This window comes from Homo sapiens, chromosome 11 (assembly GCF_000001405.40).
Source record: "Homo sapiens chromosome 11, GRCh38.p14 Primary Assembly".
Classification (NCBI taxonomy): domain Eukaryota; kingdom Metazoa; phylum Chordata; class Mammalia; order Primates; family Hominidae; genus Homo; species Homo sapiens.
This window is the reverse complement of record NC_000011.10, coordinates 83,776,389-83,797,982: the sequence shown is the minus strand read 5'-3', so window position 1 is coordinate 83,797,982 and position 21,594 is coordinate 83,776,389. Positions and strand designations below refer to the sequence as shown.

The following is a 21,594-nucleotide window of genomic DNA, read 5'->3' as shown; positions in this document are numbered from 1 at the left end:
CTACCTGTAAGCACTCCTGGGGCACAAGAATGACGTTAAAATAATATTTCTCAATTTTAAGCTGAGGAATGACTCCTCATTATGGTCAAATATACTAAAATGGCTTATCATGCCCTGGATCACCAGATCCTTGAGAGGCTATGTCATGGTTAAGAATGCAAACGCGGCCGGGTGCAGTGGCTCACGCCTGTATTCCCAGCACTTTGGGAGGCCGAGGCGGGCGGATCACAAGGTCAGGAGATCGAGACCATCCTGGCTAATACAGTGAAACCCCATCTCTACTAAAAATACATAAAATTAGCTGGGCATGGTGGCGAGTGCCTGTAGTCCCAGCTACTCGGGAGGCTGAGGCAGGAGAATGGCATGAACCCAGAAGGCGAAGCTTGCAGTGAGCGAGATAGCACCACTGCACTCCAGTCTGGGAGAAAAGAGAGAGATTTTGTCTCAAAAAACAAAAACAAAAACAAAACAAAAAAAAAAAGAATGCAGACACTTAAACCACACTGCCTGGGTTTCATTCCTGACTTTGTCATATGTTAGCAATGTACCCTCGGACAAGTTACTTAATCTGTGCCTCAGTTACCACCTCTGTAAAATGGGGATTGTTGTGTGTTCTTACTTCACACAGTTGTTATGAGGGCTAAGGGAATTTCTGTATATCAAATGCTTATAACAGTGCCTGGCACATATTAAGTGTTATGTACATGTCAGCTACCATCATCACCATCATCATCATCTTCTTCTTCTTCTTCTTCTTCTTCTTTTCCTTCATCACTTCTTTCTCACATTTGTTCCTCCCGTATCTACCCTTCAGTAACAACTGCTTCCTGTTCTTCAGATGTGCAGGCCCTCTCTCACCTCCAGCCCTCCATATGTGCCTCCCTTTCTGCCTTGAATACTCTTGCCACTGGTCTCCTCACCCCAATCTCCCCCTCTGTGAGAACCTCCACCCATCCTCACCTTGCTAACATTCATGACCTCATCTCAATGTCACTTTCTCCAGGAAAGCTCATTCCTCCTCATCCCTTGGTAGGAATGCCTCCTCTGTACGCCACAGAATTCTGACTTTTTTTGTGCTAGCACTTACCGCCCAGCATTTAATCATGTGTTTAGCTGTCACTGTCCTGCAATGAACAGCACATTGCTTGACAATGGCTATGTGTCACTCTAGTTCATTCTTCCCTTAAACTGGAAAGTGAAATAACTAAGTGGATACTTTTTAAAAAACAAATATATTTCAATACTGTGTTTATCTCTAGGCACTACGGTAGGCACACATTAAAAGATAGTACAGTGAACCATAGGGTAAGCATCCATATTGCCATATTTGATCTCACAATCACTTATCTGAGTCTCTAATGAGATATTACATTATATCAAGATGCTGGAAATAACACCCATAAGAGATAACAAAAAATAGAATTTAGAAACTAGGGAAGGAGAATTCCCTGACACAGGAGGTATGCAAGCACAAGCAAATGGTCACTTGGTGAGAATGATATGAAGGGATGCGGAAGGGAGTGGGATCACTCCCTGGAAAAGTGAAAAATGTGTTCAAATATTAGGATCATATAGAAGAAGAAATGATATTGTTTTGTGAGCCATCAGAGGGCAGAACTGAAGCCAAGAGGTGGAAAGAAAGATTCAACACAAAGAACTGTTTTGGTTTTTTTCATTTGTTTGTTTTAATCACTGGAGCTGACCCAAACAGAATGGATTTTCCTGAAAGGCAGTGAGTTCTTCATTAGTGTTGATCCAGTGTCACATGGAGGTTAGATGATCATTTGCCTAGGATAATGCAGTGAGAAAATATTATTCACTCATCCACTCACTTATTCACTCACAATCCTCTTTTATTCTTTTGCACCTATTATTTGCCTGACCCTATGCCAGGAACACAAGTTCCAATAAGCAGAGATCTGACTTTTAAGGAGCTTATAAATAGATACATTACACAACTCAGTTTGAATTGAGTCTTTAAGAACTAGAAGAAGTTTTCCAGATGAGGAAAGAGTGAGAAGCTATGTTCTAGATATGGAAAATAGCATGTGCATAAATGCAGAAATGGCTGAATCAGAGAAATTTTAAAAGGTCAACATGGTGAGGGACAAGGGTATAAGAATGTGTTTGAATCAGCCTAATGATATAAATTGGGGTTGAAGAAGATCACAAGACTTCCTCCATTTTTGAAATCCTCTGATTCTGATATCATTCATTCTATAGCACTAAGAAATAGACAAATATTTCCAGAGAATCATCATTTATTCAAGGAATAAATGCCCCTAGTGGGAGAAGTAGCAAATATAATGATCATCTCTTAAAAACAAAAAGAAAAAAAATTTGACCTTGGGAATGGTAAACCACTCATCTTCACATTAAGATGTGAAAAACAGCAGCAGCAACACAACTAGAAGTCAACTAAAAGTGCTCAAATTTCTATTCATTACCAATATTATTGTGAAAAGGATGCCAAAACATATGGAATATATATGTGTATGATTAAGGAACTTACCCAAATAGATAGATATAGATATAGATATATAGATATAGATATAGATATAGATATTTTTTTTCTTATAAAGAGTCTCACTCTGTCCCCCAGGCTGGAGTGCAGTGGCACGATCTCAGCTCACTGCAAGCTCTGCCTCCCATGTTCACGCCATTCTCCTGCCTCAGCCTCCCAAGTAGCTGGGACTACAGGTGACTGCCACCACACCTGGCTAATTTTTTTTTGTATTTTTAGTAGAGACGGGGTTTCGCCATGTTAGCCAGGATGGTCTCAATCTCCTGACCTTATGATCTGCCCACCTCGGCCTCCCAAAGTGCTGGGATTACAGGCGTGAGCACCGCGCCTGGCCGGAATATAAATATTTTAATGATCCAATAAAAGTCATATACATAAAGAGGTAGCAATAAATGAAATTGTTCTAGCTTGACAATGCCTTTTGCTTTAGCCCTACATGATCTAATCATTATAAGTTGGGCCATAATTTCTAGATCAGGTTGCTTTTGGACCACCACAGAGCAGAGTGGCAAAACACACCCAATCATCTGCTGCCAGTCTCAGGGAGCTTGACTTATGCCCTTGAAAGACAGGTTTCAGAACTAGAATCTTGTAGGCGTAGACCCTCGGAATTAGACAGGATATTAAATTACAGTGTAAATTGGTAGTTAGGAACTCAGGAGTATTAGTTACATTATTTTAGATCCTTAGCCTCTTTCCACCATATAAATTTGAGTAAGTCAGTGAGTCTCTGAGCCTAGTTTTCTTATCAGTAAAATGGGAAAAATAATCCCACCCTCCTGAGGATTAAATGAAATAATATATAACTATCTCTGATGTACATACCTGATGCTCAATTAATGTTAACAATTATTATTATTAATCTCAACAATAATTAATGGCATCCAATCTTTGAGAATGTATGCTTCAAGAAAAGAATTTTTCTTGGAGAGGAGAGGACTCTAAATAGAACTCTCAGAATCCATGCATCCAGGTGAAAAAGTTCAAACTGAAGCAAAAAAAAAAAAAAAAAAAAAAAAAACCAATAGTAAATATATGAGGCTGTGTCACACTTGGTATTTTAAAATGTCATATCAATGATGTAAACTGTGAATACTTGAAAATGTTATTTGTTCAAGGTTTACTGATAAAAACTCAAACCTCAGGGATAGAAATAAGAATCAAAGTGATCTTGAAAAGTTTGAAAGACTGGAGAAGAACATGTTTGCTAAAACCAGGGAAGAAATCAACAGGAACAAGGGCAATATGATATTTTTCAGGATAACAGCAGCAACAAACCTCTCCAAAAATGCAGAGGCCCATGTAGATTTGGGCCTAAAATGAACAAGATTTTATTATTGGTCCAGTGAAAAAGAAACAAACTCACATATTAGAGCACATCTGCTAAACTAGAAAGAACTCTGGGCTTGGCAAGAGGAGCGCTTGGCTGGTCCTATCCCTATGCTAACTTCAGTATGACTTTGGGCCAGTCCCTTCCTTTACGGGGTTCATCTCTAATGTATAAGTGCTAGACAAACAAGTTTCTAAGGCTCTTCTACTCCTAAAATGTTGTGTTCCTCTTTTTAAAAAAAGCATGAAGTAACTAATATATTGCACTCTGTGTTGGTTAATTTCTATTAGATTTTATTTCATCACTTATAATCACAGCTCTTTGAAGAAATGCTAAAACAATAATAATAGATACTATTTGCTGAATGCCTGTTTATACCTGCAACAGCCCTGATAGGTAGGTAGGTAGGTAGGTATACTCATTTTATAGAAAAGGAAGCTAAGGTTCAAAGAAGTTAAGTGACTTCCCCAGGTTACCTAGGAAACCTAGGTAGACTTGAGATTTAACCCGTTTTGTCTAACTGCAAATCCTTTGTTCCTTCCCATTTTTCCATGCAGTTTTCTTAATGCACTGAAAAAAAATTCAGAGGATGACTAGAATGATGAAACATGTAGAAATCTTATGCTGTAAAGGAAACGTCCAAGAAATTGTGGCTGTTCACTTGGTTCTCACATCAAACATTAAAGTATATTCCAATTGATTAAGGATTAAATGGCTAAAGATTAAACTATAGTTTGCTACAGGAAAACATGGGTAATTTGTTAAATAGATTGGTGAAGAGAAAATATAATCTAAAACTTAAGAGCCAAAAAAGAAAAGGAAATTAAATAAGACTTCACTAAATGTTTAAAAATTCACTCTATCTATGATATGAAATAATGTACGAAAGAAAAGTTAAAATACAACAGTACAAATAACAAACTAAGAATATTTGTAATAGTTACCTAAGAAGGAACAATAACATTCTTCATTTGCAGATAATTTTTTGAAAGAGCAAACTGCCTAAACAACAACAACAAAAAAAGCAAAATAAATAAAAAGGGATTTTATGTAAAAATAAATTCAAATATCCAATAAACATATAAGAAGATGCTTAACCTTATAATTGAAGAAACACAAAATTTAAAAATAAAATTGTTTACCTATCAGAATGGAAAAAGTCAAATGTCGAGGTATATGTAACTATTACAAGAGTGTGAGGAAGTTGAAAATCGTATATTATTTGTTGGCATATAAATTAATACTACACTTTTAGAGGCAGTCTGGCGATACCTATCAAAATTTGACATTCATATCCTTTACTCAACAACTTACTGTTAGATGATATTTATTACCTCATTGTTTATAATAACAAAATAATGAAGCTACCTAGCTGTCTATCAGCCATGCACTGGTAAAACAAATTGTTTTTCATTGAATAATAGAACACTCATAGCTATTAAAAAGAATGAGATTAATCGGAAGAAATATGTAAATTAGAAAGCTGACTAAGGTATATTAGTAAGTGGAAAAAATCAAGGTGTAGAACATGATCTTATTTGTATAAAATTTTAAATTATATATTTTATAAAGTGGCTTATATTCACAACAAAAATAATTAGTAGTATATACAAGAAACCATTCACATGATTACCTTTGTAGAGAATAATAGGAGGTAAGGGAGCCTTTTAATTGTATGTCTTTTCATTGTGCCTTACTTATGATATATGGATATGATGTGGGTATATTAATTTTATTTTTCATATCAGTACACTATCTGGGCAATTCAATTATGGCCTGTTTTTGTTTTCTTATTTATTAGTTCCTATATGTTTAATGAATAAATAATCATTTTGAAAATGTGCAATAGCAAATTAAAAAAAAACAAGTAATGCATATACCCTTTCACCAAGAAGTCTTTCCAGGGAACTTATCCTTCAGAAACACTTTTATAAGTGTTCATAGTAGCAGAAAAACTGGAAACAACCTTAACAACATCAAGAGGGATCTCACTGAAAAGTGCTGGGACATCCATAACATGGAATACTGGGCTTTCATTAAAAAGGTAGAATGATATGAGCTGATATGATAATGAAAGATGTCCAAGATACATTGCTCAATGAAAAGCAAAACAAAAGCTGTCAAATTATATATGTTATGATCTATTCAGTTAAATAAAAAGGCAATAATATATTAAAATATGTATGTAAGGAGAGCAAGAGAAATAAAGTCATGTGCTTGCATGTGCATATAGTGAATCTTTAAAAAGTACACACAAGCTGGAGGAGGAGGAAGGAGGCGGGAGAAGGACTTGCTGGAGGAAAGGCGAGCGCAGCAGTCACGCCGGTCCTGGGAGAGGAAGCGTAGCCCGGCCACCTTCGGAGACGGGCTCTTCCCTATGTTGCCCAAGCTGGTCTTGAGCTCCTGGGCTCAAGCGATCTGCCCACCTCGAACTCCCAAAGTGTTCGGATTACAGGCGTGAGCCACCGCGCCCGGCTGACCATCTCATTCCATCATGCCAGAAGTGAATCCCCTAGTATTTTCATCCGTTGGATTAGGTAACTAGTCATAATGAAGAAAATCAGTTTTAAAACCTTCTGGAAATCCTTTAACTTGAATAAAAGTAAAAAATAAACTGATTTCATGGTAGTACAACAACCATCGCTAGCCAGTGACTTTGGAAAGATAATTCCTAATTTGGTAGCTGCTATGGTAAAGATATGGCCAACTGCGATATCAACAGGAAAGACGAAAAAGGTGGAAAAGAAAAAAAAGACAGATCAAAAAGCAAAAGCTTGATGGATACGTTAAAAAGGCAGCTTTCTGCCAAACAGAAGCCAAAAGGCAAGGCGGGCAAACCCTCTGGGAGCTCTGCCGATGAGGACACCTTCTCCTCCTCCTCAGCACCGATAGTCTTTAAAGCCGTGAGAGCTCAGAGGCCGATAAGGCCACCTCCCTCCGCAGCCATCACTGCAGTCCCATGCCATGGCCTCTTCGACCCACAAACTCTGAGGAGACGTGCATCAAGATGGAGGTGAGAGTCAAGGCCACTCTTCCAGTCCGAGTCCACCCCTGAATGGCGTCCGAAAGGATTTCCACGACCTTCAGTCTGAGACCGCGTGCCAGGAACAAGCCAATTCACTGAAAAGCTCGGCTTCTCAGAACGGAGACCTGTATCTTCGCCTGGATGAACATGTGCCTGTCGTTATTGGACTTCTGCCTCAGGACTACATTCAGTATACTGTGCCTTTAGATGAGGGGATGTGTCCTTTGGAAGGATCAAGTAGCTATTGTCTGGACAGTTCTTCTACCATGGAAGTCTCTGTGGTTCCTTCTCAAGTGGGAGGGCGCTCTTTCCCCGAAGATGAGAGTCAGGCAGACCAGAACCTAGTTGTTGCCCCAGAGATCTTTGTGGATCAGTCCATGAATGGGTTGTTGACTGGCACCACGGGAGTCATGTTGCAGAGCCCCAGAGTGGGTCCGCATCATGTCCCTCCACTCTCACCATTGCTACCTCCAATGCAAAATAATCAAATCCAAAGGAACTTCAGTGGACTTACTGGCACAGAAGCCCACATGGCTGAAAGTATGCTCTGTCATTTGAATTTTGATTTTAACTCTGCTCCTGGTGTTGCAAGAGTTTATGTCTCAGTGCAAAGTAGTGGTCCCATGGTAGTGACAAGCCTTACAGAGGAGCTAAAAAGATCTTGCAAAACAAGGATGGTACTGGGGACCAATCACATGTTGGGAGGCAGAAGGGAAGCTAGCAGTCCTGCCAGATGGTTCTTTCCTTGATTGGGACAGTTCTGAAGACTGTTACCTTTTAAGCTTGAGCTTTCGCTCCCATGGTAAAACAGTTCACACTAGACTTGGGCACTCAAATGGTAGGTTTAGCTTTTATGAACAGCCAAATGTGGAAGGGCATACATCCATAGTTGATCTAATTGAGCATTCAGTCAGGGACTCTGAAAATGGAACTTTTTGTTATTCAAGGTCTCAGCTGCCTGGATCTGCAACTTACCTTGTCAGACTGGCCAAGCCAGTGTCTCGGTTCATGCAGGTACACTCGTTGCAGTACCTGTGTCATTTTGTTTTATGTCAGTATACCAGAATAGACTTAATTCAGAAACTGCCTTTGCCAAACAAAATGAAGGATTATTTACAGGAGAAGCACTACTGAAAGACTGAGAACCCTGCATCTTGCACTTTGGGAATAAGAAAAAGAGATTGAAACACAGTTTACAAACTTTCATTGCCATCAAAATCTTTTGCTGCCATAACTATTTCACTTTTATGTATAAAAGAGTCATCAGTGGTGGCTCACGCCTGTAATCCCAGCACGTTGGAAGGCCGAGGCAGGCAGATCACGAGGTCAAAAGATTGAGACCATCCTGGCCAACATGGTGAAACCCCATCTCTGCTAAAAATACAAAAAATAGCTGGGCGTGGTGGCACGTGCCTGTAGTCCCAGCTACTCAGGAGGCTGAGGCAGGAGAATTGCTTGAACCCAGGAGGCGGAGGCTGCAGTGAGCTGAGATCATGCCACTGCACTCCAGGCTGGGCAACAGAGCGAGACTTCGTCTCAAAAAAAAAAAAAAAGTCATCAGTTTGTTTAGGGGTGGGGAAGTGTCAGCAAGGTGTCTTGGGTTTATTTTGGTTATTTAAAAAGGGAAGTCTTGAGGTTTTAGAAGTGTGAATTACCTTTCCTCAATGTGCAGAATAATCACAATGTGAATTATCAAATTCTCCTCAATGCTGCCCCCCCTCCCGCCCCGCCCTGTCCTTTGCTGCTATCCACTGTGATTTTTATGCATTAAACAGAATGGAAATTGCTATGTCTTTTTAAATGGCCCATTTTCAAAAGATAGTGTTGAATAAACATACCCGTGTGATAAAACACAGAATTTACGTATACACTGAAGATGAATTTTTAATCTATTACTTTAAAAAGATTTATTTAGAATCATGAATTGGCATACTCTTGGGTAATGGAATGGAGATCTACAACATATCTTCTAACAACACTTTTTTCTAAATTATTTCTTAGGTTGTGCTAATTTTATTGGTTGTGAGAAGTTGAGCTTTTCTGTTGCCTTCGTTTCATCTGTTGCCTTCATTTTCATCTTATAGTTTGCCTATTATAATAAATGGCCTTACATTAAAAAATTGTAAAGAAATGTTTACCACCAATTTAGAAATTGTTGCCTTTTCTGTCATTAAACTCAGGTACAAATTGCCATAACATGAAAACCTATGGAACTAGAATTATGATTAAAGAAATATTAGATGATCCTAAAAGAAAAAAGTATCCATAAAAGTGGTTCCACTGGAAATGGAGATGGTGAGGGGACTTTTACCTCTTCCTTTTAGACCTTTCTGAAACAGAATTTATTTGCCATGATCACATTTTATTCTTTTATAAAAAGTAAACCTTAACTGTTTGACAAGAGAATAAATTATTTGGCATGTGAAGTTTGTGCAATTCAGCCTCCTGTAGGCAGTAGCCTGGATCTAATTACCTTTCCTGTCTCTTCTGGCCAGCAGATTCATACTTCTAACTCATCAATAGCCTAGACAGTCTCTGAAATGACTATATCTAGCAAGAATAACTCAAGAATAGATCTGGAATTTTATACTTTAAGGGGGCTTTAGATTCATATAGCCTAACAGTCTCTTCCCTCCGAGGGAGGAGAAAATTGAGTCTCAGGTAGTATGACAGTCAGCAAGAGAGTGGCACAGCCAGATCAGGCCTAGCTCAGTGGACTCCCCAATGTTACCATGTAATCAATGCTTTCTGTAAGGAGTTCACCACACTAGAAAGCCAGGGATGAGGCAAGGAAAATTACAAAAGAGAATAAGGAGATGTTAACGAAGTTATTATGAGAGGATCATGATGTGGAATTTAAGCGTATGGATGTCCCAGGCCTGATGGGGAAACAAAGTAGTAACCCCCCATCTGCCACCCAATGTCATTCTCAAATAGGATTGATGAAAAGCAAAATACGATTATACATTTTGAACGTGTATAAGCTAATCAGTTCTTTATTCTTCTTTCATAGCCCATATCAACCTGCCCCATGAATAAAAGGAAGCAGAATTCTGCTATCATCTGCAAAAAGTTAGTTTTTTGTAGGTTAGAAACCCATACTTACTGTGTGTTCATCAGAAAAACTTCTTGAGGGCTTATCTTGTCTCCCTTTGTGCTCCACTCATTGTCCCTCTTCTGGGGCAGACAGAGAACTCTGTCATTGGAGAGCACTTATTAATTACATTATATTGACTTAGGCTGAACTGATTCAAGAAAAATTTTAGCATTTTCTTCTTATTAAATTTGAGTTAAGAATGCCTTTCACCCTGGCAGAGTTTGGAGCTTTTAAGACATTTCTGTTTCTCTTTCAGTATGGGACCCAAAATGGGAGTTAGCAATAGCTAAATAAACTCCAGGCACTCTTTATTTCATTTTGTCAGAATTTATTCTAGAATTGTATATGAGAAATAGGACAGTCAAGTATATATTTTAAAACAAGGCGGCCGGGCGCGGTGGCTCACGCCTGTAATCCCAGCACTTTGGGAGGCCGAGGCAGGCGGATCACGAGGTCAGGAGATCGAGACCATCCTGGCTAACACGGTGAAACCCCGTCTCTACTGAAAATATAAAAAATTAGCCGGGCGTGGTGGCGGGCACCTGTAATCCCAGCTACTTGGGAGGCTGAGGCAGGAGAATGGTGTGAACCCGGGAGGCGGAGCTTGCAGTGAGCAGAGATCGCGTCACTGCACTCCAGCCTGGGCGAAAGAGCGAGACTCTGTCTAAAAAAAAAAAAAAAAACAAAAAAAAAACAAGGCTTAAGGCTGTCTAACCAGGCTCAGGATGACAAGGCTAGACAATTGACCACAGAGAGGGATTTGGCAACCATCTGGCCCCATTTTATACCATGTCCCCAGAATCTCATCTGAATGTTTTAATCTTTTAGCATATATTTGTCTATTTACATTACATGTGTCTCTCTTTATCATCCTGTTTTCCCTCTAATTTTGAAGGCTCATATTTATCCCTATTTACCCTAGAAATCTAGGAAGCTCACAGAGGCATATTAAATGCATACACTAGAACATGAATAGATAAAAATGTTTCCAACCCGGTCAGACCATGGCACAAACACCACAAGGTGAAATTTAATGTCTCTCCTAACTAAAAGTGATTAAGATCATGAAAGTCCACAAACACCTGAGTAGGATATGAGGGGTTTCTGAGGCATGTGATATAATGTTAGACAGCCTGGTTTTGGGAAACTTTTTTCTTCTATCAGGATAATATGCCTTATGAAATACCAAGATTCTCTGGCTTCCTCTCTTTCAGGTGAATGGCATTGACCTCCGTGGTGCATCCCACGAGCAGGCAGCTGCTGCACTAAAGGGGGCTGGACAGACAGTGACGATTATAGCACAATATCAACCTGAAGGTCAGTCAGAACTCAAACTAATAATGTTCTGATATGTCTCTGTGTGGATCTGTACCCTCATTACTAATAATTTTTATTAACTAGAGTCACCATCATTGGTGTTTTGTAAACCTACCTATAGTGAAAAATTGATGGTTCATGTCCAAAGAACGTGAACCGTGGCTTTGTTACCTCTAATCTTCCAGGAAAATATCAAGCAGTTAGAAAGGCCTATGAAAATATGAATTCAAATAAATAGCAACCAGCATCAGCTTTATTTCATTTATATTCTTATGTGGTACACACTTTCGGTCACCAATGGATACTGTAAAAACAGTTAAGACTTAAGAAGCAAAAGGGAGAGATTTCATCTGCAGAAATAGACCAGTAGACCATATTCTCTCCTCATGGCATTAACTTAATTCTCATTAACACTAACATGGCTTTTGGGGGTGCTTGATTGACATTTTTTTTGCCTTTACTCCTACAATATCCCTTGTTTGAAATAAATCACTGTAAACCATGAGACTCAGTGAGATCATGTAAATTAGATTAGCCAACTTAAACTTGATGAGATATCCTAAATTGGATTAGCCATGCCCTGCTTTTTGGTTTATTTAAACATCTGTTTCCGTGTTTAAAATGAGGCTCAATGAGACAACTGGGATGTTACTTATTGTATGGTTGATTTCTTAGAAAATTCATATATAGGTTGCTCCTTTGGAAATGAAACGTACTTAATGTAAGCACACAATTATGGGTCAGATCTTGTTATTAAAAAAAGAAGAGGAAAATGGCTACTGTCTTCAAGAAATGAAGCGCATTGCTTTTGGTCCATATGGCTAGCAAAGAGGAGTATTAAACAGCTGAACATGAGAGTATAAGATGTCATCAAGGAAGAGTCTCTGTGCATATGAGTATTAGGAGCTCCTTTTCAAGTGATGATTTGTTAGCATCGATGGGTCTATTGTTGTTTGGAAGACTGAGGTTTGTGTCTTGCCTGTGACAGCTTAGATCTTACCATTAATGGTGGCCAATCACATGGTCTGCCCATGAATAAAGAAAATATTTTCTTCCATGCATGTTTTGACATGTTACTTTCAGTTGTGCCTGGCTTTAGAATTAGAATTTGAAATTAATTTATTCAAAATTTTTAATAAATGTTTTTTCCTATGTGGCCTAGGCCAGATATGGCCAGAGAGTGGGAAAGAGGAGATTTGTGATGGTCACAGATGGATGATGACAACACCAAGGAAATATTCTCTTCTCAGATAGTTTTGAAAAGTCTTTCTATTTGCTAAATATTAGTAGACTTGTATTTCAGTAGGGACAAATGCTTTAAAAATTATCCATCATAGGCCGTGTGCGGTGGCTTAAGCCTGTAATCCCAGCACTTTGGGAGGCTGAGACGGGCGGATCAGGAGGTCAGGAGATCGAGACCATCCTGGCTAACACGGTGAAACCCTGTCTCTACTAAAAATACAAAAAAATAGCCAGATGTGGTAGCTGGCACCTGTAGTCCCAGCTACTCAGGAGGCTGAGGCAGGAGAACGGCATGAACCCGGGAGGTGGAGCTTGCAGTGAGCCGAGACCGTGGCACTGCACTCTGGCCTGGGTGACAGAGCAAGACTCCATCTCAAAAAAAAAATAAGTATCCATTATAAAGCTGAAAATTAAAAGATATATGCTGGTACCATTTGAATAACAAGTTCTACTTCATATAGAGTAAGAACTTTTTCATCGGAATCTTCCATTTTCTTAATAGCTGTTTTTTTCAGTCTCAAACTGTATGTCCTTCACCATCGCCTGACATTGCAACATAAATGTCCCCATTTTCCTGTTTCTGAAAAATCTCATCTCAAACAATTCTGCAGACGATAAGATGGTTAGAATCATAGATAAGCAATTAGAAGCTCTCGATAGTGATCAAGTGTTCAAATAACCTTGAACAGAATGACTTCAAGCTTTAAAGTTTACATAAAAGGACAAACATGTCCCTGTTCTATCAATGTAGATCTTCATCTTTCTACTGGAGCTTCCTTACATCTTGGTTTCCTTTAAGCAATATGTTTAATTTGGTTACTATGCTGTAGTTTATCAAGATGCTTGTTCAAAGCATGTCCTATAAATCATACAAATTGATTTTTAAAGTGCTTGTAAAGAAACCTGCAGATAACAACAAGCTTTTTACAAAATGCCAAAGTACAGATTGGATTCACAGAATGACTTCTCTGTTTTAATAGCCTAACTGTATACTAATCTGTTGCAGCTTTAAATTAGTTGGAAATGTGGTAATGGCAACATCAAGCAATCAGATTTCTTTCCTCTCCTATCCAAACTTTACGTGTAACTGAGCCTTAATTTAACTGCAGTTTTCAATGAAAAAGTGATTGAATTATTGTTTAGAGACATTTAAATTGTACAACAGTTTTAGGAAATAAAGAATAATTTACCTTTAAAATAACAAATGAAATGAAGAGTGCCTCATGAGATTCCATTAGGAAATTCTCACCAAGTGCCCTTTATCTGCACCCATATTGTAAGTCGTTCAACCCTTAAGACAATGCTGGCAGATGATTTTATTGGCATACTTTTAGTATGGTCAAGAATTAGACTTTCAGTGAATACATTTTTCAGTCATAATCAAATGCTTTATCAAAAATTTCCTAAATGTATCTGTCAGTATTATCAGATGCTCACAAAAATCTGCCCCTAACCTTAAGTAATAAGCATAGTCTTTGTCTTCAAGGATTTTTTTAATCTAGTTGAGGAAAAGAGATTTTTATACATTTAATAGAGTATAGTTCCTGGTAACATATGATCAGATTGAATGATCTTAGCAGCAGTATTTCTAGGAATTATGGAATGTCAGAGAAAGGATAAGCCTGAAGGGGTCAGGACAGTGCAAGAGTGCACCATGGAAATGTGGAAATGGAGCCAGACCTTGAAAAATGGGTGAAATTTCTATTCAGGAGTGGAGGGAGAAAGAATATCTTGCTAAACTACAAAATTGTGAGTTCCATGCATGCAGACACCATACCTATATTTAACAAAATATAGGTAGCTGATAGCTCTATCTCTGGTGTCCTACTTGGTATTTCTTAAAGAGTTGATGAACTAGTGGATAAAAGCCTACCATTCCTCAGCACTTGAGTTTTCACTTGAAGGTAATTAAAGGTTGAAGGGATTCTTCATTTTCACTACTTGCGCTTTTCATTTTTGCTTCAAAGACATAAAGGAATTGCTAAAGAAATGTGTATTGCAAAATATCAAACAATTTCCAACTGTGTTCCTCATAGTCTTTAGCATATTTTTGTGATAATTATAAATAATTTATAAAATGTCTAATTAACATAATGTAGCAATAAATGTCTTCTTTGGCAAGTTTCACTTTACAAAGCGAGATCACAATTTTACTCACTTCTGCTTAAAATGAGCTTGTCTCCAGTTGTCCACATTGCTATATCCATCCTCAATCTTATTCAGTGTCTGGTTCATGGTAGTAGAATTGACACCAATTTGAAGAGTCATATATGATGTTTTTCTCTGGTGGTGTGATTGTGATTCATTTTTGCCAACTTTTAAAATTCAATTTTATCATGCACTTACTTTGAAATTAACATGTATTACTTTCATAAGAAGAGGAAAATAATGAAGTTGTTTTTCTTTCTTTCAAGAGGATTACATACATTGTACTTCAATAATAATTCCATTTAAGCACTATGCAAAGTTAATTATTGTCAAACCTTTAATTACCTATACCCAGTTAGTGAAGTTGCTGTAATGCCACTTCACAGAAGGAAATATAATGTCTTACACACATGTGCACCCACAGGTACCCCTTCCCTTTCCTTACCCTTCCCAGAAACCTTCCCCTTTGATTTCAGAATTATCTTTCTAAGAGATATGACACCAAGATCCCTGTGCACTAACTCCTTGTCTTTCACAATATATTCCCAGCCAACTCACCCCACTCACCCCTCCACCACCCACAGTATCAGCCTTTCTCATTGTACCCCTGCTACACAGGACTGCTGTCTGCTCTTACACTTGTTCCTGAACTATGCCTTTGCTCTGTGGAATCCTCTACCCAGAATTGCCTTTCTCCCTTTCCACCTGCAGGATTCCTACTCATCTTGAGAGCCCACAGATGTCAATTCCACTACAAAGCCATTTTTAATCTGCTTAGTCAGCATTAATTGATTCTTTATCTGAGTTCCCCAAAACTGTATGTAAACACCTGGTGTGCCCATTATGACAGTTTGCACACCTCTCCACTCGAGTGAGCTCCTAGACAGCACTAGGAGCTGTGATAGACCCTTCTGTCACTCATTTTATATCTTGTGTTAATCCATGCAATATGAATTTGACTATGGTTTATTAATGAGTTATTGAATGGGTCTGCTCTTAATTTAAATGCAATATAATGTTTTCAGTGTGTTGACATATATTAATAGTAGGTGCTTAAGAAATGTTTGCTGAGTAATTATTAAAGGAATGGCATGGGTTTTTATATTAGATTCAGAGATGGTAATTGAATCCCTGGTTTGGACATTTGGTGTTGACACAGTTTTTAGATGGTGCCTTTTGGTTTTCAGTCATAAAACCTTTAGCAACCCTAGTAGATAAACTCCATTTCCCCTGCATTGCAGAAAATCTACAGCTGTTGTTTTGAAATATAGCACAAAGATAAGATGATTAAAGCACTAACATTTTTTTCAAGTTCTGAAACTCAACTTTGACACCATTGATGAATAAAAAGGGAATTGATTACAACCTAATTATACATTTTTCAAAAAAGATAACACAGCATTTCCCCAAGTCAGATCAGGGTAAATCTGATCTGTATTTGCTGCCTTCTTTCTAATAATATCTACATTTATTGTGAGATAACTGATTAGGTTTGAAATAATAAGCCACAGATATTGACTTGGAGAACTAGGTAGGCAGTAGCTAGTATTAGATAAAGCTCAAAATGGAGTTAAGAGCCAAGTGGTCCCTGTGAGAACCACAAATTCTTTTGCCTTGAATATGACTTCTCAGGACATTGTTGGAGAGACTGCCAGGATTTCAGAATGGCCTGCAGGTAGAAAAGAAGTCGTGGATGGTACAGTCCTTACCAGTGATGAGGAACTTCGGTAGATAGTGAAGGGACCTGATTTCATCCACCCTTTATTCTTTAATAAGGTACTGGAGTTAAAAGAAAAGCCCAAAAAGCAGAGTTGATAATTGCCTGGAGACTCATAAGTGTAGTCTGGTTTATGGAATTGTGGCAGAGTGACCACATGGTTCATTTATTCATTTATACATTCATTCAATCAATAGGTATTTTTTTTCTGGATACTTATTATGCCTCAGTCCATGTTATAAGGAAATAACAAAGCAGTGAACCAAAAAAGCCCCTCTCAAATAAATGTAAAATGTGTCACATGGTGATAAGTAGTATAAAGAAAGAAGCAGCAGGAGAAAGACAATAGTGACAGAGAAATATATAGTGGGCAAGAAAGCCATGCTAATAAGGTGATATTTGAACAAAGATCTAAAAGAAATGAGGGAGTAAGCTATGCAGGCATCTGAAGGAAGAAATGAATTATTCTAGAGTTTTGTTCTACTAAATGTTGTCTACAGACCAAAAGCATAGATATTAAATGAGAGCCTTCTTAGAATTGTAAGATCTCAGGTCTCAACCCAACCCTACTGAATCAGAATCTGCATTTTATCAAGATTCCCCAGATAACTTGTATGCACATTAGAGTTTGTGAGGCGTTGCCCTAACATACTTGGAGACCCTGCAAAAATTGTCACTTGTCACTGTTGGGTTGGACTCCCTCTACCTGGAGAACTGGGCAAAGTCACATGAGGCTGCATCACTAGATTTGATTTCTGGCATGTGTCACCCAATGATTGGTCATGGCTCAGTGGTTTTAGCAGGGATAGGTCAAACTGCAGGAGATCTAAGAAGTTCATGTGCCATTCAGCTCTACTTTGTCTACCCCGCCCATCTAAATACCAATATCAAGCAAATTCATAAGTCTTGCTAGAACTCCTCAGCTAGTGAGACAATGAACCTATTCGGGCTTCATTGCCTTTAGTTATGACCTCTACAGCAAGTGAGTTTAGAAGCAGTGAGTTGGGATGAAGTAACATTGATTCCTATCCTCACAGATGCCTCTATGAACCAAGGGAAAGTCATTAAGGCTTCACTATAAAATTTGAAAATTTGAATAGCTTACCACACTTTAATGCAGAAACTCATGTAAATAATCTGTTTCACTCCTTTTAAATTGTGAGGCTAATTCAGAAGGAAAACTATTCTTTTCAGCAATAAGTGAAACTCTGATGTTATTTGGGGTAACCACTGTCACAGAGCTTAAACCACAGTTGGACACCACGGTGCATTTCTCTATGGGGTCAAAGATATAATGAAAGCTTGACATGAATATGCAATTTATCCCTTGAAAAATATGGACACCTTCTGTACCTGAAGGTTCTCAGAAATGAAAGTACATACGCCATCCAAGAAGCATACTTACAATGCAAGACATATTTCTTTCTTTAAATCAACATCTATGTAGGCTTATGCATATGAATGAGCAGCTGTGGCATGTTGAAACATTTTCCCAACTCACGTAACTGCATCACAAATACCCAGGAAAGATTTTTAAAGTCCAGCTGTGGATCTTGATCAGAAATTGCATCAGAATCATCAGAGAACATTTAAGTAAGCTTTCAGAACAGAAAGTACCGTACACGACTTGGACTGGACAAGACCAGTTTTCTAGTGCAAATTCCAACTTAGGTGAGATAGAAGCATAAGTTTCATTACTTGAAAGTTTTGTCGCTAACATTACATCTTTTCTTTGCATTTTTAATACATAAGGAGAAATGAATGCACGACCTAGTTAACTTGATAGATTCTGTGTAGTTTAACTAGAATCACTAAGAAATAGAAATTAAAAGTTTTAAGAATCCTTAAAGATAATCTTGTCAAGTTTACTCATTTCACATATGGAGGAACTAAAGTTCAGCATCTAGATAGGAAAGCCGTTTAATATTTTAAAATTGGTATAGCTGTTAAAGCTGAGGCTAGCTGAGCAGTTAGTAATTTCCTTGATTTTTAAAATTTACTGTAGTAGCTCATGATGGGGAGTGGCTTTAATAGCCCAAGGAATGGAATGCAATGAGATTATTATAATCAAATGGACATAAAGGGGTCAAAAAATTTCTGAGGGAGCCTCACCACTTTCTCGGGCATACTGCATCACTTTCATTTCTAGCATGTTACTGTTGTTAATTGCTATTGTTTCTGTATCACAACTGAATGATGTATACATGACAGCATTATTGTAAGTGTAGGCAACTATTGTTAATTTTTAAAATAGCCACAAATCTGGAAATAGTTATTTTTTTCAACAAGTAGTTCAAATATATTACAGTTTTTCTCTTTCCATCCTACCTTCTTCGTGCACACCCTTTATCCAGCCAGCCAGCCAGCTGCTTATCCATTCATTTATCTGTTATCAATAAGCTTGTCTTTAGTGATACTCTTTGTTGCCAAGTATTAAATTTCACCTAATATGTTACATTAATTATGTTCTAATTAATCTAGTTATCATATTCTAATTTGTACTGAAATATTAGGAAAGAAACTTAAATAAAACTTTACATGACTCTAGATTTTTATTGCTTAGACATTTCTTTCTCCACAACTCTCTCCCACACATGTACACATTCTACTAACAGAAAAAGGCCTCTGCCAGCAACTAGACACTTCCCAGGAAGTCTCTTCACTTATTGTATCCTTTTAATAACCTTCTCCTAGTTGCCTTTGTTTCCTCCCCAACCTCCATCTAACCCATAGCAGCGTAGAATATGACTAAAAAGATGATTCCTGAACAGTCTGCAGATTCATTCATGAAAGGTCCTTTCCAGATTCCTTAATAATTAATCATGCTGCATACCTCTCCCCATGCCTAACAGCCAGTTTTTGACCTCGAGTAATATAATAAGGACAAAAGCAGGTATCACTTCCTAACTCCTAAATTAGAAAACTCTCTTCATCTCATTATCTATCCTGGGAATGGTGCATCTTTAACTCATATCAAAGGGGTTAAAAATATTTACAAAGCTGATTATAGGTTAATAATAGATATAACCTCCTCTCATTGTATGATTACAGTTCCGAACATCCCCATAAAAACTTTCATTCCGTAATAAAGTATATTTATCTTTGACAGTTTCATCTTGTGATTTTATATTATTTGAGGGGTATGTTGACATTTAGTGACATAAATCAGTCACTCATTAATACTGGAAAAAGCCAAATAAATCCTTGTGCTAGAGACATTTTGACAACAAGGAGACCTCTTAGATTCACATCTATCATTAGCAACACCCAGATCAAATGCATGGAAATAAAGGGTTCTAATACTACTCTTGACTCTACAAGTATTACAAAATGAACACAGATCTTCACTAGATAATCCTTCAATTTGATAAGGAATTTCAGGGTGTTAGAGAACTGTAAAAGAATGTTGCACAGAGATATGCAAAGAGGACTATAAAGCAAGACAGCTTTAAAACTTTCTGACTTCACTCTATATTCTGGGTGCCCAGTATAGTTTACCCTCACATCTCTTTGAATAGCTATTTGTCAGTCCTCAACTTTAATAATGAGTAATGAGGCACTTTTCTCGTCCTGTCCCTCACTCTGCAACTTTATTGAGCACGCCTAAGTCATATCACTTTTCTGAACATGGATTCCATTGTTTGTTAATTAAGGTGGTTCAAGAGATTAGTTTTAAGGCCCTTTCCAGCTGATGTTCTATGAAGTTTAGTTTATTGTGTCTTCTGATTAAAACATGCCATCAAATAACAATTATTACAAGAAGGTAATTTCTAAATGTTTCCTTTTTTCCCCATACATTTTAAACACACAGAAATTATCTTTCACCCACTCGGAAGAAGGGGAAAGATCTGTATCTGTGTAATTTGCTGTCTCTGTGTACCATGGGATTTGAAACATTCAATAATGATTTTAAGTTTAATTCAAGTAGAAGCATTTATTGTTTCTTGGGGGTTTCAGGATTAACAACTTACTGTTCATGATCTTTTTGTTTATAGAACCATTGTGGCCTAAATCTTATCAGTTTAATAAATTAAATTGTAATTGCTAAACTTGCAGATAGATTTTTTGAGGCTGAAGGAAAGTAATGTAAAAAATCAATTTCAGGACATTAAAGATGCAGAAAGCTGAAATAGTGGAGATGTCTTGAACTGTCAGAATCACAAGTAGTGGCAGCTTTAGGGTGGAAACCCAAGCCCAAGAAATAGAAAGTATACATCTTTAATGTGCTTTTTAGATTCCTAATTCACATAGAATTCCTGATAGACTCATTACCTAAGTCTTTAAAAGACAAAAATTCCAAATTGCACTTTGTTTCAAGATAATCTCTTATTCTCCTCTTAGCTTCCTCACATTTATCATGTTCCCATTGCTAAAAGTAATTTACTTTATTACTAAAGAATTGCTGGCACATTGGTAAAATTAAGCAATGGCAGGACAACATTCATTCATTCAATCTTTATTCAGCTAATATTTATTAAATTATTCCAGTGAGTGACATGCTGCCTTGCACTCTGGAGATACAATGGTGAGCAAAATAGACATGGCCCCTTCCTTCCCTAATGGACCTACAGTCAGCCAAGTAAAATCACACTAACGAATTATACAAAGTGAATGCTCAAGAAAAAGAAGAGAACTTGGATCCAAAATCTTAAAGTCTAGGTACTCAAATGTACTCAGAGAATACTAAACCAGACCAAACGAAGACAAACAAAAGCTCTGACCTAGAGGAGAGCGTCAAGAAGGCATTCCACGGGAATAATACTTTCTTTAATCTGAAGGGTGAGTAGGTATTGTCAAAGCATAGCAGAAAAAGGAGGAAGAGTATTTCAGGAGGGAAAGATATCTGAAGTGTATCTGAAGGAGAGAGGATGGTGCAGTGGAGGGACTGAAAGCAAACCAGGGAATGTGGGAGAAACACTGGAGGAGGCAGAAGAGAGAAGCAGAGACAGATCACACAGGACTGTGTTATTTCTACTAAAAACAATGAAAGGACCTTTGAAAGGTTTTAGGCCTGAGGCTGGCAAGATCAGATTTGCTGTTCACAAAGATGGCTCTGGCTGCTGAATAGAAAGTAGGCCAGAAAGCACCGAAGAGGCTGGGGTAGGACCAGTTGAAAGGCATGAGTCTGTGTGAGAGATGGTGCTAGTTGGATAAGCATGGTGGCAGACCAGCAGTTCAAGGATGCAGTGAGCTA

The 21,594-nt window shown here is 37.8% G+C and overlaps 1 protein-coding gene and 1 pseudogene across 53 annotated transcripts in view; both read left to right on the top strand.

The window, feature by feature from the left end:
* Window positions 1-21,594, top strand: part of DLG2 (discs large MAGUK scaffold protein 2) — a 2,173,362-nt gene that overhangs the window by 1,830,391 nt on the left and 321,377 nt on the right. For 52 of the 53 annotated variants that reach the window (NR_165353.1, NM_001351274.2, XM_017017256.3 and 49 more), the window contains one exon: window positions 11,191-11,293. Coding sequence is in view for 52 of the 53 variants with exons in the window: in NM_001351274.2 (NP_001338203.1) it covers window positions 11,191-11,293 (103 nt within the window). In the remaining variant the exon portion in view is untranslated. Of the gene's footprint in view, window positions 1-9,091; window positions 9,175-11,190; window positions 11,294-21,594 lie in introns of those variants that run through there. The other variant, XM_017017287.2, reaches the window with a different exon arrangement.
* LOC100420800 (suppressor of cytokine signaling 6 pseudogene) lies at window positions 6,372-8,147 on the top strand (annotated as a pseudogene).